Source organism: Homo sapiens, chromosome 2, assembly GCF_000001405.40.
Source record: "Homo sapiens chromosome 2, GRCh38.p14 Primary Assembly".
Lineage (NCBI taxonomy): Eukaryota > Metazoa > Chordata > Mammalia > Primates > Hominidae > Homo > Homo sapiens.
Window position 1 is genome coordinate 108,762,323 of NC_000002.12, and position 15,197 is coordinate 108,777,519.

The 15,197-nt window shown below is 37.7% G+C and overlaps 1 protein-coding gene across 11 annotated transcripts in view; it reads left to right on the forward strand.

Annotated features, from left to right (window-relative positions):
• Positions 1–15,197, forward strand: part of RANBP2 (RAN binding protein 2) — a 1,122,820-nt gene that overhangs the window by 42,841 nt on the left and 1,064,782 nt on the right. For 2 of the 11 annotated variants that reach the window (XM_005264002.4, XM_011511575.3), the window contains exons 20-26: positions 915–6,066; positions 6,938–7,015; positions 9,379–9,549; positions 10,167–10,259; positions 10,546–10,724; positions 13,386–13,614; positions 14,808–14,909. In XM_005264002.4, coding sequence (XP_005264059.1) covers positions 915–6,066; positions 6,938–7,015; positions 9,379–9,549; positions 10,167–10,259; positions 10,546–10,724; positions 13,386–13,614; positions 14,808–14,909 — 6,004 coding nt within the window. Of the gene's footprint in view, positions 1–914; positions 6,067–6,937; positions 7,016–9,378; positions 9,550–10,166; positions 10,260–10,545; positions 10,725–13,385; positions 13,615–14,807; positions 14,910–15,197 lie in introns of those variants that run through there. The other 9 variants (XM_005264007.4, XM_011511578.3, NM_006267.5 and 6 more) reach the window with 7 other exon arrangements.

Consider the following 15,197-nt stretch of genomic DNA (forward strand, 5'->3'; position numbering starts at 1 on the left):
AATTTATCTCCAAATACAGAAATTATCCTTCTTAGTCACCTTATTTTTGTGTTAATAAGTGTGAATATTTAGAATATTTTAAAAATGGGAGTGGTGGTGGTGGATCCTTCATCGTTCTGTTTTAACAGAAATAGAACTGTAATGCCCTTGCTGACCCACTATGTGGTAAGTACTTTCAGGCCTGATACAGCTATATATATAACAATTGATTGAAGACTCAATATTACAGTGGTAGTTGAATGTGACAGCTTTGAGGACAGAGTGTTGGGGTGCATTTAGACCCTTGCTCTTCTGCTTATTTTGACCACAGGCAAGTTTCTTAACCTCTCAATGCATCAGTTGCCTCATATGTAAAATGAGGATAATAATAATACCTTAATTCATAGGGTTTTTGAGGATATTAAAATGAGATAATAATGTAAAGTGCTTAGAACAGTGCCCAGCTGGCACATTAATAAATGCTCAATAAATGTTACCATCATCATCATCATCATCATCATCATCATTAACATCATTTGATAAATTAGGAATGAAGAAGGTATTTATTTTATGACTTTAGCTGTAGATTTTAAGATGCTATACATAATTTTCATTATATGCCAAGTATATATGCAAGTATCTTTGTAGTAATGTGGTTTTCTCTTAACCTACTTATGCCTAGTGCTCCATTATTGGAACACTAAGCTTATGGGAGTTATTTATATCCTACTGCTCAAGGTCATTGCCAAGGTCTGATTTTTCACACAGAAAATTTGCAGCCTCTGGCATAAACGGGTTAATGATGTGTACTACATCCCCTAATGAGATCTTCTTCACTTCATATTCATGTTTGAAGTTTGTGAGAATTGGTTTGCATTTAGTTATCTGTAGTTTTGTAGACAATCTACAAAATGTTTTAACTTTCTGTCTTTTAGGGCCCAGTCTATGGCATGAATAGGCTTCCACCCCAACAGCATATTTATGCCTATCCGCAACAGATGCACACACCGCCAGTGCAAAGCTCATCTGCTTGTATGTTCTCTCAGGAGATGTATGGTCCTCCTGCATTGCGTTTTGAGTCTCCTGCAACGGGAATTCTATCGCCCAGGGGTGATGATTACTTTAATTACAATGTTCAACAGACAAGCACAAATCCACCTTTGCCAGAACCAGGATATTTCACAAAACCTCCGATTGCAGCTCATGCTTCAAGATCTGCAGAATCTAAGACTATAGAATTTGGGAAAACTAATTTTGTTCAGCCCATGCCGGGTGAAGGATTAAGGCCATCTTTGCCAACACAAGCACACACAACACAGCCAACTCCTTTTAAATTTAACTCAAATTTCAAATCAAATGATGGTGACTTCACGTTTTCCTCACCACAGGTTGTGACACAGCCCCCTCCTGCAGCTTACAGTAACAGTGAAAGCCTTTTAGGTCTCCTGACTTCAGATAAACCCTTGCAAGGAGATGGCTATAGTGGAGCCAAACCAATTCCTGGTGGTCAAACCATTGGGCCTCGAAATACATTCAATTTTGGAAGCAAAAATGTGTCTGGAATTTCATTTACAGAAAACATGGGGTCGAGTCAGCAAAAGAATTCTGGTTTTCGGCGAAGTGATGATATGTTTACTTTCCATGGTCCAGGGAAATCAGTATTTGGAACACCCACTTTAGAGACAGCAAACAAGAATCATGAGACAGATGGAGGAAGTGCCCATGGGGATGATGATGATGACGGTCCTCACTTTGAGCCTGTAGTACCTCTTCCTGATAAGATTGAAGTAAAAACTGGTGAGGAAGATGAAGAAGAATTCTTTTGCAACCGCGCGAAATTGTTTCGTTTCGATGTAGAATCCAAAGAATGGAAAGAACGTGGGATTGGCAATGTAAAAATACTGAGGCATAAAACATCTGGTAAAATTCGCCTTCTAATGAGACGAGAGCAAGTATTGAAAATCTGTGCAAATCATTACATCAGTCCAGATATGAAATTGACACCAAATGCTGGATCAGACAGATCTTTTGTATGGCATGCCCTTGATTATGCAGATGAGTTGCCAAAACCAGAACAACTTGCTATTAGGTTCAAAACTCCTGAGGAAGCAGCACTTTTTAAATGCAAGTTTGAAGAAGCCCAGAGCATTTTAAAAGCCCCAGGAACAAATGTAGCCATGGCGTCAAATCAGGCTGTCAGAATTGTAAAAGAACCCACAAGTCATGATAACAAGGATATTTGCAAATCTGATGCTGGAAACCTGAATTTTGAATTTCAGGTTGCAAAGAAAGAAGGGTCTTGGTGGCATTGTAACAGCTGCTCATTAAAGAATGCTTCAACTGCTAAGAAATGTGTATCATGCCAAAATCTAAACCCAAGCAATAAAGAGCTCGTTGGCCCACCATTAGCTGAAACTGTTTTTACTCCTAAAACCAGCCCAGAGAATGTTCAAGATCGATTTGCATTGGTGACTCCAAAGAAAGAAGGTCACTGGGATTGTAGTATTTGTTTAGTAAGAAATGAACCTACTGTATCTAGGTGCATTGCGTGTCAGAATACAAAATCTGCTAACAAAAGTGGATCTTCATTTGTTCATCAAGCTTCATTTAAATTTGGCCAGGGAGATCTTCCTAAACCTATTAACAGTGATTTCAGATCTGTTTTTTCTACAAAGGAAGGACAGTGGGATTGCAGTGCATGTTTGGTACAAAATGAGGGGAGCTCTACAAAATGTGCTGCTTGTCAGAATCCGAGAAAACAGAGTCTACCTGCTACTTCTATTCCAACACCTGCCTCTTTTAAGTTTGGTACTTCAGAGACAAGTAAAACTCTAAAAAGTGGATTTGAAGACATGTTTGCTAAGAAGGAAGGACAGTGGGATTGCAGTTCATGCTTAGTGCGAAATGAAGCAAATGCTACAAGATGTGTTGCTTGTCAGAATCCGGATAAACCAAGTCCATCTACTTCTGTTCCAGCTCCTGCCTCTTTTAAGTTTGGTACTTCAGAGACAAGCAAGGCTCCAAAGAGCGGATTTGAGGGAATGTTCACTAAGAAGGAGGGACAGTGGGATTGCAGTGTGTGCTTAGTAAGAAATGAAGCCAGTGCTACCAAATGTATTGCTTGTCAGAATCCAGGTAAACAAAATCAAACTACTTCTGCAGTTTCAACACCTGCCTCTTCAGAGACAAGCAAGGCTCCAAAGAGCGGATTTGAGGGAATGTTCACTAAGAAGGAGGGACAGTGGGATTGCAGTGTGTGCTTAGTAAGAAATGAAGCCAGTGCTACCAAATGTATTGCTTGTCAGAATCCAGGTAAACAAAATCAAACTACTTCTGCAGTTTCAACACCTGCCTCTTCAGAGACAAGCAAGGCTCCAAAGAGCGGATTTGAGGGAATGTTCACTAAGAAGGAAGGACAGTGGGATTGCAGTGTGTGCTTAGTAAGAAATGAAGCCAGTGCTACCAAATGTATTGCTTGTCAGTGTCCAAGTAAACAAAATCAAACAACTGCAATTTCAACACCTGCCTCTTCGGAGATAAGCAAGGCTCCAAAGAGTGGATTTGAAGGAATGTTCATCAGGAAAGGACAGTGGGATTGTAGTGTTTGCTGTGTACAAAATGAGAGTTCTTCCTTAAAATGTGTGGCTTGTGATGCCTCTAAACCAACTCATAAACCTATTGCAGAAGCTCCTTCAGCTTTCACACTGGGCTCAGAAATGAAGTTGCATGACTCTTCTGGAAGTCAGGTGGGAACAGGATTTAAAAGTAATTTCTCAGAAAAAGCTTCTAAGTTTGGCAATACAGAGCAAGGATTCAAATTTGGGCATGTGGATCAAGAAAATTCACCTTCATTTATGTTTCAGGGTTCTTCTAATACAGAATTTAAGTCAACCAAAGAAGGATTTTCCATCCCTGTGTCTGCTGATGGATTTAAATTTGGCATTTCGGAACCAGGAAATCAAGAAAAGAAAAGTGAAAAGCCTCTTGAAAATGGTACTGGCTTCCAGGCTCAGGATATTAGTGGCCAGAAGAATGGCCGTGGTGTGATTTTTGGCCAAACAAGTAGCACTTTTACATTTGCAGATCTTGCAAAATCAACTTCAGGAGAAGGATTTCAGTTTGGCAAAAAAGACCCCAATTTCAAGGGATTTTCAGGTGCTGGAGAAAAATTATTCTCATCACAATACGGTAAAATGGCCAATAAAGCAAACACTTCCGGTGACTTTGAGAAAGATGATGATGCCTATAAGACTGAGGACAGCGATGACATCCATTTTGAACCAGTAGTTCAAATGCCCGAAAAAGTAGAACTTGTAACAGGAGAAGAAGATGAAAAAGTTCTGTATTCACAGCGGGTAAAACTATTTAGATTTGATGCTGAGGTAAGTCAGTGGAAAGAAAGGGGCTTGGGGAACTTAAAAATTCTCAAAAACGAGGTCAATGGCAAACTAAGAATGCTGATGCGAAGAGAACAAGTACTAAAAGTGTGTGCTAATCATTGGATAACGACTACGATGAACCTGAAGCCTCTCTCTGGATCAGATAGAGCATGGATGTGGTTAGCCAGTGATTTCTCTGATGGTGATGCCAAACTAGAGCAGTTGGCAGCAAAATTTAAAACACCAGAGCTGGCTGAAGAATTCAAGCAGAAATTTGAGGAATGCCAGCGGCTTCTGTTAGACATACCACTTCAAACTCCCCATAAACTTGTAGATACTGGCAGAGCTGCCAAGTTAATACAGAGAGCTGAAGAAATGAAGAGTGGACTGAAAGATTTCAAAACATTTTTGACAAATGATCAAACAAAAGTCACTGAGGAAGAAAATAAGGGTTCAGGTACAGGTGCGGCCGGTGCCTCAGACACAACAATAAAACCCAATCCTGAAAACACTGGGCCCACATTAGAATGGGATAACTATGATTTAAGGGAAGATGCTTTGGATGATAGTGTCAGTAGTAGCTCAGTACATGCTTCTCCATTGGCAAGTAGCCCTGTGAGAAAAAATCTTTTCCGTTTTGGTGAGTCAACAACAGGATTTAACTTCAGTTTTAAATCTGCTTTGAGTCCATCTAAGTCTCCTGCCAAGTTGAATCAGAGTGGGACTTCAGTTGGCACTGATGAAGAATCTGATGTTACTCAAGAAGAAGAGAGAGATGGACAGTACTTTGAACCTGTTGTTCCTTTACCTGATCTAGTTGAAGTATCCAGTGGTGAGGAAAATGAACAAGTTGTTTTTAGTCACAGGGCAAAACTCTACAGATATGATAAAGATGTTGGTCAATGGAAAGAAAGGGGCATTGGTGATATAAAGATTTTACAGAATTATGATAATAAGCAAGTTCGTATAGTGATGAGAAGGGACCAAGTATTAAAACTTTGTGCCAATCACAGAATAACTCCAGACATGACTTTGCAAAATATGAAAGGGACAGAAAGAGTATGGTTGTGGACTGCATGTGATTTTGCAGATGGAGAAAGAAAAGTAGAGCATTTAGCTGTTCGTTTTAAACTACAGGATGTTGCAGACTCGTTTAAGAAAATTTTTGATGAAGCAAAAACAGCCCAGGAAAAAGATTCTTTGATAACACCTCATGTTTCTCGGTCAAGCACTCCCAGAGAGTCACCATGTGGCAAAATTGCTGTAGCTGTATTAGAAGAAACCACAAGAGAGAGGACAGATGTTATTCAGGGTGATGATGTAGCAGATGCAACTTCAGAAGTTGAAGTGTCTAGCACATCTGAAACAACACCAAAAGCAGTGGTTTCTCCTCCAAAGTTTGTATTTGGTTCAGAGTCTGTTAAAAGCATTTTTAGTAGTGAAAAATCAAAACCATTTGCATTCGGCAACAGTTCAGCCACTGGGTCTTTGTTTGGATTTAGTTTTAATGCACCTTTGAAAAGTAACAATAGTGAAACTAGTTCAGTAGCCCAGAGTGGATCTGAAAGCAAAGTGGAACCTAAAAAATGTGAACTGTCAAAGAACTCTGATATCGAACAGTCTTCAGATAGCAAAGTCAAAAATCTCTTTGCTTCCTTTCCAACGGAAGAATCTTCAATCAACTACACATTTAAAACACCAGAAAAGGGTAAGTACTTTGTTGTTAAAGTTAAGCACAATTTTTCTTTCTTTTAATGTTTAGCTTGATGCAGACTCTTTGTAGGATACTAATGTTGGGATATAAATGATGCTTTGTGAACACCCCCAAAATATTTGAGCAATTTTTTTTCTCCCTTAATAAGTTCACGGTGAGGTTTCAAAGAGCAAGAGAACTTAGTTTAAGACATTTCAGTAACTGGAAGATACTTTTATCATGCTAGGGCAGAGCAAAAGAACTCGGTACGGTATACGGACTCATGCTTGAATCATGCACATTAACGTGAGTCTTTTTTTAAAGTGTTCATTTTCATTTGTTCAGTTTCTTTTGTCACTCAGAAAACATGATATTGAGGCTGGGCACGGTGGCTCACTCCTAGAATGCCAGCACTTTGGGAGGTTGAGGTGGGCAGATCACTTGAGCTCAAGAGTTCGAGACCAGCCTGGCCAGCATGGTGAAACCCTGTTTCTACTGAAAATACAAAAATGAGCCGGGCGTCGTGGTGCGTGCCTATAATTAGCAGCTACTTAGGAGGCTGAGGCAGGAGGATCACTTGAGCACAGGAGATGGAGGTAGCAGTGAGCTGAAATCATGCCACTGCACTCCAGCCTGACTGAGTGACTGAGACTTTGTCTCCAAAAAAAAAAAAACAACGTGATATTGAGATGTTCTCATTTTATATGTTGTATGTCAGTCTTGCTCATGTATTAAATGAGCAAAGAATGAAACTACAGGGATAAATGAATATGTAAGACAATCAGATTGGTGGTATAAATTGAGGGATTCTGGCTTTTTATGTTTTAAAAGCATATTCATTTTGTTTCCTAAAATGTTAAAAAACGAAATATTCTTTATTTTCTAGGATTTAATTTTAGCCTTTTTAAATCTAATCCCATGGCCTTTTGGACTAGCACCCCTTCCTCACAGCCTGAGAGCAAAGGTATAGAACTAGCATTCTCAGTATGAGATAACAGCAGTTTTTAGCAGCTGGGTAGCCCTTAGCAAAGTATTAATAACTGTGGCTGTATGAAATGAAGTACTTACCACTACAACATGCATGTTAAAGAATGCCAGTTTAAGCAAAGTACCTTTTGACTGGTGGCATGACACCCTTGTTGGTTTGTTTTTTAAAATGTACTGGGATGCTGATTTGTAATGTACTTCATTGCTCTGCTATTTCAGGTCTGCTCAATGAAGACCTATGTTTTATCTAATGTTTATGTTTAGCCACTAACGTCTGCCAGTATTCAAATGTAGTGGCAACGGCATGTATACAATATGGAAGAGTGTCCCTGTAGGGCTGTTCTTTTGTGCATGGTTTAGAAAAATGTTGTATTTGAAAATGGACCCCGTTTTTAACAGCCAGCATTCTACAGCTTGCATATTATATATGTTGCACCGATCAATTTTAGAAGTGTGGCTACTAGAGTGGAACAAGAAGTGGGATCTGTTGAAGGCCTTCAAGAACAGGTTAGGGAAGTGAAATCTCACCCTTAGTGACCAGTAACACATCTTAGCCATGCCAAACAAGTACAATGATAAAGTAGCAATCTCTGATTTTTTTTTTTAAGTATACCAGTTTTATTACTAGCTAAGGTAGCTCTTAATCTTTTATTTTTAAAGATACGGTCTTTGAGAAATGTGAAAAGTGTTAACTTAAAAGTGGATGTATACTTGCGTACAGTTTCTGTGAGCTCTAGGTTAGGAATCCCTGACCTAAGAATGAATGTGCCTATATACTACTGTAGAACATAGAGCCTTATTTTGTTTTGAATCTGATAATGTCATTGTCCCAAGGGACCTTAGAAATGAAGACTTTAGACATGAGTAAACTGAGGCCAAGAGAGGCTATCTGATTTACCCAAGGTGTCTTTACTGAGTAATAGCAGAAGTGGAACAAGAATCTGTATCTTACGGTGTACTGTTATTTCTCCTAGCTAGAAAATGATACTAAGTTTTTGTTTATAATGAAGGAGAGGGACAAATTTAACATTGTAAAAGGAAGGGCACTGGTTCTGCAGAGCAGTGTCATCCAGTAGAAATAAAATATAACCTGTGTATGTAATTTAAAATTGTCATTTGGTGCAATGGCTTGTGCCTATAATCCCAGTTACTTGGGAGGCTGAGGCAGAGGGATCACTTGAGCCCACAAGTTCCAGGCTTTAGTGAACTGTGATCACATCACTGCACTCCAGCTCTGGGTGACAAAGCAAGACTGCATCTCAAATAAATAAATAAATAAATAAATTTTCTAGTAGCCATATTAAAAAGAATAAAAAGAAACAGTTAAAAAGGGAAACAGATGAAAGTAACTTTATTGATAGATTTGATTTAACTTATGTCCAAAATATCATTTTAACTTCTAATTAATATAAAAATTAATGATATTTTACATTATTGTTTTTCACCAAGTCTTCAAAATCCAGTGTGTGTGTTTACACTTACTGTTAGCACGTCTTGATTTGGACTAGCCACCTTGTGAGGTTTTAATAGAATGTGGCTAGGCTACCATATTGGACACCATAGCTCTCAGAATGTTTCCCTATCACTAGTTGGTATACATGGCATGCTTCATGACTGGCTTGCTTTATTAAACTCCTTTAGCCAGAAGTTCAGAACAGGTTGCATATAGAAGTTTTTTCTCTTTCTAATTTTTTGCCCTTTGCATTGATGGTGGCTGGGGATGGGTTGTTTTTAGCCATATGAATGGTCTTAGATTTTATAGTGTTAGCTACCTATAGAGTCACAGTTGTTATTTAATTTTACTTAGTATCATGCTTGAACATAGGCAAACTAGATGCAACTCTAGTCACCTTCCATTCTTGGCAATTGTTAACTTTCCTTACAGAAACTAATCACAGTTGGCTTTGGATTAGTTTCATATGTATAGTAATACTTGCCTATGTTTTAAGATTTTTTTCAATTGCTGCAAATGCATGGATATTTTGGTAAACTATTGTATGCTAAGTATAGTTAGGCAACACTTTAAAATTTTTAACCTTTATAAATTCTAGAAATTTATAGTAATTCTTTTCAATGACTATTAAGTAAACACAAATTTTTTTTTGTTTTCTTTGGTTTTAAATAGATTCTGTGTTCACTTAGGGTTTTTGGTAGAACACTAAATCAGGATGCTAATTCTAGTTCATGATTATCATACATCTCTGCATCAAAGTATATGTGTTTTTTATCAGTATGCTGTTTTAACCTATAGATAGGTTCCATGGTTTTTATTTTCAGTTAGAGTATTAACGTCAATACTTAATACCTTATCTTTGTCAATTTTTTTGACTGGTGTTACAGCAAAAGAGAAGAAAAAACCTGAAGATTCTCCCTCAGATGATGATGTTCTCATTGTATATGAACTAACTCCAACCGCTGAGCAGAAAGCCCTTGCAACCAAACTTAAACTTCCTCCAACTTTCTTCTGCTACAAGAATAGACCAGATTATGTTAGTGAAGAAGAGGAGGATGGTAAAACTTTTGTTATTTCAAAAATCCTCTGTTCCCGCTAATCTTAGTAAAATTGGGAGTATGGTTTAATTATTTTAAGCCTGCCTCTTAGAACTTATCACTAATATCCTTGCAGGTAGATATTTACCCTAAATGTATGTGTAAATGGTCAATGGATATAGTGATCAAAAGGACTGCAATCATTAAGCAAGCATTTTTTGGATGGCTAATGTGCCAGGCACGTGTTTTGAGGGGATTTAAAATAATTATAATTTTGCTGGAGTCTTAAAGATGTGGAAGAGAGAGAGAAGGCGGACAAGGTTCCAGTGGAAAACTTTGTATGCAGTAACAGTTTTTAAGCTGGACAGTTAAATAAAAGTCTCAATAGAATCAGTTGGACAGTGGTATATAGTATTGGGTTATGGGACAAGGAGATCGGAAGATGAACTAAAATGAGAGCAGCTCAAACAAGATGAGAGGCTGAGCTAAAGCTCTAGCAGAAAGAGAGGTATTAAAGATATAAAATTGGCTGCAATTCAGATGTGGAGAGTGAGAAATGGTGAAGTTGGAGGTAGTCCCTAAGCAAGGAAAACCCCCCAAAATTAACTAGAAATTCTTTTAATCAATTGTATTTTAAGATGAAGATTTCGAAACAGCTGTCAAGAAACTTAATGGAAAACTATATTTGGATGGCTCAGAAAAATGTAGACCCTTGGAAGAAAATACAGCAGGTATGTTAAGTGTAAAGGACATTTATAATGCTTTTAACAAGTCTTCTATTTAGAAGGAATAACCTAGTCTGATAATTTCTATAATTATCGATTTTACGATGCCCATGGTGATTTAAAAAACTTAAAACTAACAGGTGAAAATATTCTTTTCTGGGTGGTCCTTGTTTTTCATTAGTATGTACAGGTCTTGTTACCTGGGTCTGTGGATTATGTTGATGACTACCATTGTTGTAGAGAAGTTGGGCTTCATCTAATTTCGTTTGCTTGTGTTGTACTGATTTTTCAGATAATGAGAAAGAATGTATTATTGTTTGGGAAAAGAAACCAACAGTTGAAGAGAAGGCAAAAGCAGATACGTTAAAACTTCCACCTACATTTTTTTGTGGAGTCTGTAGTGATACTGATGAAGACAATGGAAATGGGGAGGACTTTCAATCAGAGCTTCAAAAAGTTCAGGAAGCTCAAGTAAGAACATCTCTAATAAATTTTCCTTCTAGTTCCATTGCCTTTGTTGATGCAGTAAACTTTAGAATGTTCTTATTTATTTATTTTTGAGACAGAATTTTACTCTTGTTGCCCAGGCTGGAGTGCAATGGCATGCTCGTGGCTCAATGCAGCCTTCATCTCCCAGGTTCAAGTGAATCTCCTTCCTCAGCCTCCCGAGTAGTTGGGATTACAGGTGCCTGCCACCACGCCTGGCTAATTTTTGTATTTTTAGTAGAGACGGGATTTCGCCATGTTGGGCCAGGCTGGTCTCGAACTCCGGACCTCAGGTGATGCGCCTGACCTAGAATGTTCTTACCAAATAATAATAATGGGTTGTGGCTACTAAATGGGTTTAAGGGTCTAGACTAATCAGCTATGGCCAGGAAAGAAGGAATTTTAATTTTGTTCTACACAGGGGCTATATGCCAAAAGCTACAAAACACTGATGAAATAAAAAATCTAAATTAATGGAAAGGTATATACTGTTTATGGATTGGAAAACTCAAAATAACTAGAATATCAATTTTCCGAAATTGATCTATAGATTTAACACAACACCAGTCAAAACCCCTCCAGGAATTTTTTTTTTTTTTGGGGGGGGATGGAGTTTCGCTCTGTCGCCAGGCTGGAGTGCAGTGGGGCGATCTCTGCTCGCTGCAACCTCTGCCTCCCAGGTTCAAGTGATTCTCCTGCCTCAGCCTCCCAAGCAGCTGGGACTACAGGCATGCGCCACCACGCCCAGCTAATTTTTGTATTTTTTTAGTAGAGACAGGGTTTCACCATGTTGACCAGGATGGTCTCAATCTCTTGACCTCGTGATCCACCCACCTTGGCCTCCCAAAGTGCTGGGATTACAGGCGTGAGCCACCGCGCCTGGCCAGGAATTCTTTATGGATGTACACAAGTGAATTCTAAAATTTCTATGGTAAGAAAAGATTGTATATTTGTTACAGTTGATGAATCTACATTGACACATCATCACCTAATGTTTTTACCTTTTTGTCAAAAATTTTTAACTATTGATACAATCGTGATTTTTATTAAATCTGTGAATGACATTGCATTTTCAAATGTTCAGAAAACTAACTTTGCATTCCAGCGTAAACCTCACTTGGTCATGGTACAATTTTGTTATGTGGTTGCATTCAATTTGCATAAATCTTGTTATAAATTTTTGGGTTTATATTTATCAGGATACTAGTAGTTTTCTGATACTGTCTTTGGTTTCCATGTAAGAGTAATGCTGGTTGGGCTCAGTGATATGTGTGTGTAGTCCCAGCTATTTGGGAGGCTGAGTAGGAGGATTGCTCGGGAGTCCAGGAGTTCCAGGCTGCAGTGCGCTATGATTGTGCCTGTGTATAGCCACTGCTCTCCAGCCTGGACAACAACATAGTGAGACCGCCTCTTAAAAAAATGGTAATACTGGTATCATAAAATGAATTGAGAAGTATTTTCTGTATTGCTGTTTTCTGGAAGAGACTTGGTTGTTGACTTGGTGCCATTTTCCCTTTAAATGTTGAGCAGTTTTTACCAATGAAACCACGTCTGGAGTTTTCTTAAGTTTTAAAAAACACTATTGATTTCTCTTCTTTATTATTTCCTTCTTGCCTTGGATTTTGCACTTTTTTTCTAGTTTCTTTTTTTTTTTTTTGGCTTTTGAGACAGTCTCGCTCTGTCTCCCAGGCTGGAGTGCAGTGGCATGATCTCAGCTCACTGCAACCTCTGCCTCCTGGGTTCAAGCAATTCTCATGTCTCAGCCACCCGAGTATCTGCGATTATAGGCGTGGCTAATTTTTGTATTTTTAGTAGAGACGGGGTTTCACCATGTTGGTAAGGCTGGTCTTGAACTCCTGACTTCAAGTGTTCCTCCTGACTTGGCCTCCCAAAGTGCTGGGATTGCAGGCATGAGCCACTGGGCCCGGCCTAGTTTCTTAATTTAAAAAAAGCTTAAATTATGAATTTAAGATCATTCTTTATTTCTAGTATAAGTATTTAATTCTATAAGTTTCCTTCTAAGCACTTCCTAGCTGCAACTGGCAAGTTTTAATATGTGATATTTTCTCTTTCATGCAGTTTGAAATATTTTATTTTCCTTGAGACGTTCTTTTTGATCTGTACGTTAGATGCTACTGTGCCATTTCCAAATATTTGGTGATTTTCCTTCTGTATATCATTCTCTTATTGATTTCTAGTTTAATTCCTTTATGGTTTATGAAAATATTTTGAATAATTTCAGTTCTCTTAAATGTTGTGAGGTCTGTCTTGGTGAATGTCTTCTGTGCACTTGAGAAGAAAGTAGAGTCTCTTTTTTTGCTGACATTGTGCCATTGGCAGTTCCAGTTTTTTTGGGCTGCTGTAGCACCCAGGCTGGGTTACAGGAGTGGCAGAAAAACTCCGTGTGGATCTTAACCTCCAGATTATCTCTCTGGTCCCAAGATCCTTATTCTTCCTGTTTTTATCCACCTTTCTAAGGCTTCTTAGAGGTGCTCTGTATGTTTCAGTGTAGGCATTTAGTTATAGGTTTTGAGGAGAGATAGGGTGAAGTGTGTTTATTCTATCTTCTCCAGAAGCCCAAGTTCTCAATTCCCTTTGAAATAGATTATATAATCTGTTTTGTAAATTAGCATTTAAGTGGCATAGTATTTTGTGACTTCCTCTTTGCAGAAATCTCAGACAGAAGAAATAACTAGCACAACTGACAGTGTATATACAGGTGGGACTGAAGTGATGGTACCTTCTTTCTGTAAATCTGAAGAACCTGATTCTATTACCAAATCCATTAGTTCACCATCTGTTTCCTCTGAAACTATGGACAAACCTGTAGATTTGTCAACTAGAAAGGAAATTGATACAGATTCTACAAGCCAAGGTAAATCTTGATATATGTTTATCATGTGTTACATAAGGGACACCTTATATTTGAGAAGATAGACTTTTAAAGGCTGATCCTGAAAACTCCCTTTAAAACACATTTTGATATGTATAAAGGGGCATCTTAGTAGTAGTAGTAATAATAACCAGAAAAATTATACTGTGTTGCCAACAAATAAACATGTTTTTATTGATAGAGTTGTGGTTATTAGGGAATACAAAGCATTATGATTCTGACCTATTTTCCTGAGTTTAAAAGACAATAGTGTTGTTACATGTAATTTCCTTTGTGATAGTGTTTTCATTTAAATATTGTTTGAATTATATTATCACTCAAGCATATTCAAAGTGTTTTAATTATGAAGGAATTGTAGAAATATTACGGATTTAAGAAAGTTTTATGGTACTACTTAAATGTTTCTTATTTTCTCTAATACTTTTAAAGCTTGTTAAATTAATTATTCAGTTACAGTAACATATTTGGTATTGCTTTCTCTCTTTTTCATTTCGATTTTGGGGATGGAAGTGGGAAGTTTAAGTTGTATTGCTTTGTGTACCTTACCTACTTTTTAAAAATAGCCTTCAGTGTCACAAATATTACATTTATAGGCATTTGAGAGTCTTAATGTGCTAAAAGAGGAAGACGACTTCATACCTAAAACCTCATACATTTTCATATGAGGAAAATAAGGCATGGGGCTTTCAGAGATCATGCAGCTTCACATTAGCAGAATTAAGAGAAGACCGCAAAAGTCCTTATGACGAAGTGTAAATGAGACATTTGGTTTTTATGAGCTTATTTATAGTACAGAACACAAAAAGTTTTTATACAGATGTTTCCTAAAACCCTGCCTTTGACTGAATGCTTGCTTTAGAGTATAGTAGGCTCCATAGAGCAGAAACTGTAGTTTAATATCTGGCTTAATATAGATAGCTCTCCTTCTCATTTATAAAAAATAATTTTTGGCATGCATTTGGTGTAGTATTGTAGTATTCTTTGTGAATAGCACCTGTAAAATTAGTAATACTGAAGTAGCTCAGAATTGGATGTATTTTGTAACTTGACAGAATTTAAATAACTCCCCTCATCCCAGAGTATACAAGTCTCTACTGTTCTCTCTAGGTCCTGGGGTAAAGCTTTGATATTCAGCACAAATTAAATAGTAAATTGTTCTTTTTTTCTTTTGCCAGGGGAAAGCAAGATAGTTTCATTTGGATTTGGAAGTAGCACAGGGCTCTCATTTGCAGACTTGGCTTCCAGTAATTCTGGAGATTTTGCTTTTGGTTCTAAAGGTAAGATCAAGAGGAGAGACTTTTAATGACATTGTTACAGAATCAAGCACAACTGAAAAACTAGTTTTTTGTTGCAGTATATAACTAAGTTAGAAGTTTCTTCCCTTACCCCCCAGTTTGTTTTAGTGTTTTAATAATGAAGGGCTTCTACACTTTATTTTTTGACGTCAATATAATCTTAAGAATTTTCTCTTAATTTTATATAAGCCATGCTGATAGTCCTCCCCATTCTGAAATGCAGAACCATTTTTGAGCTTTGGAATGACTCTGACTTTGATCCTTACTCTT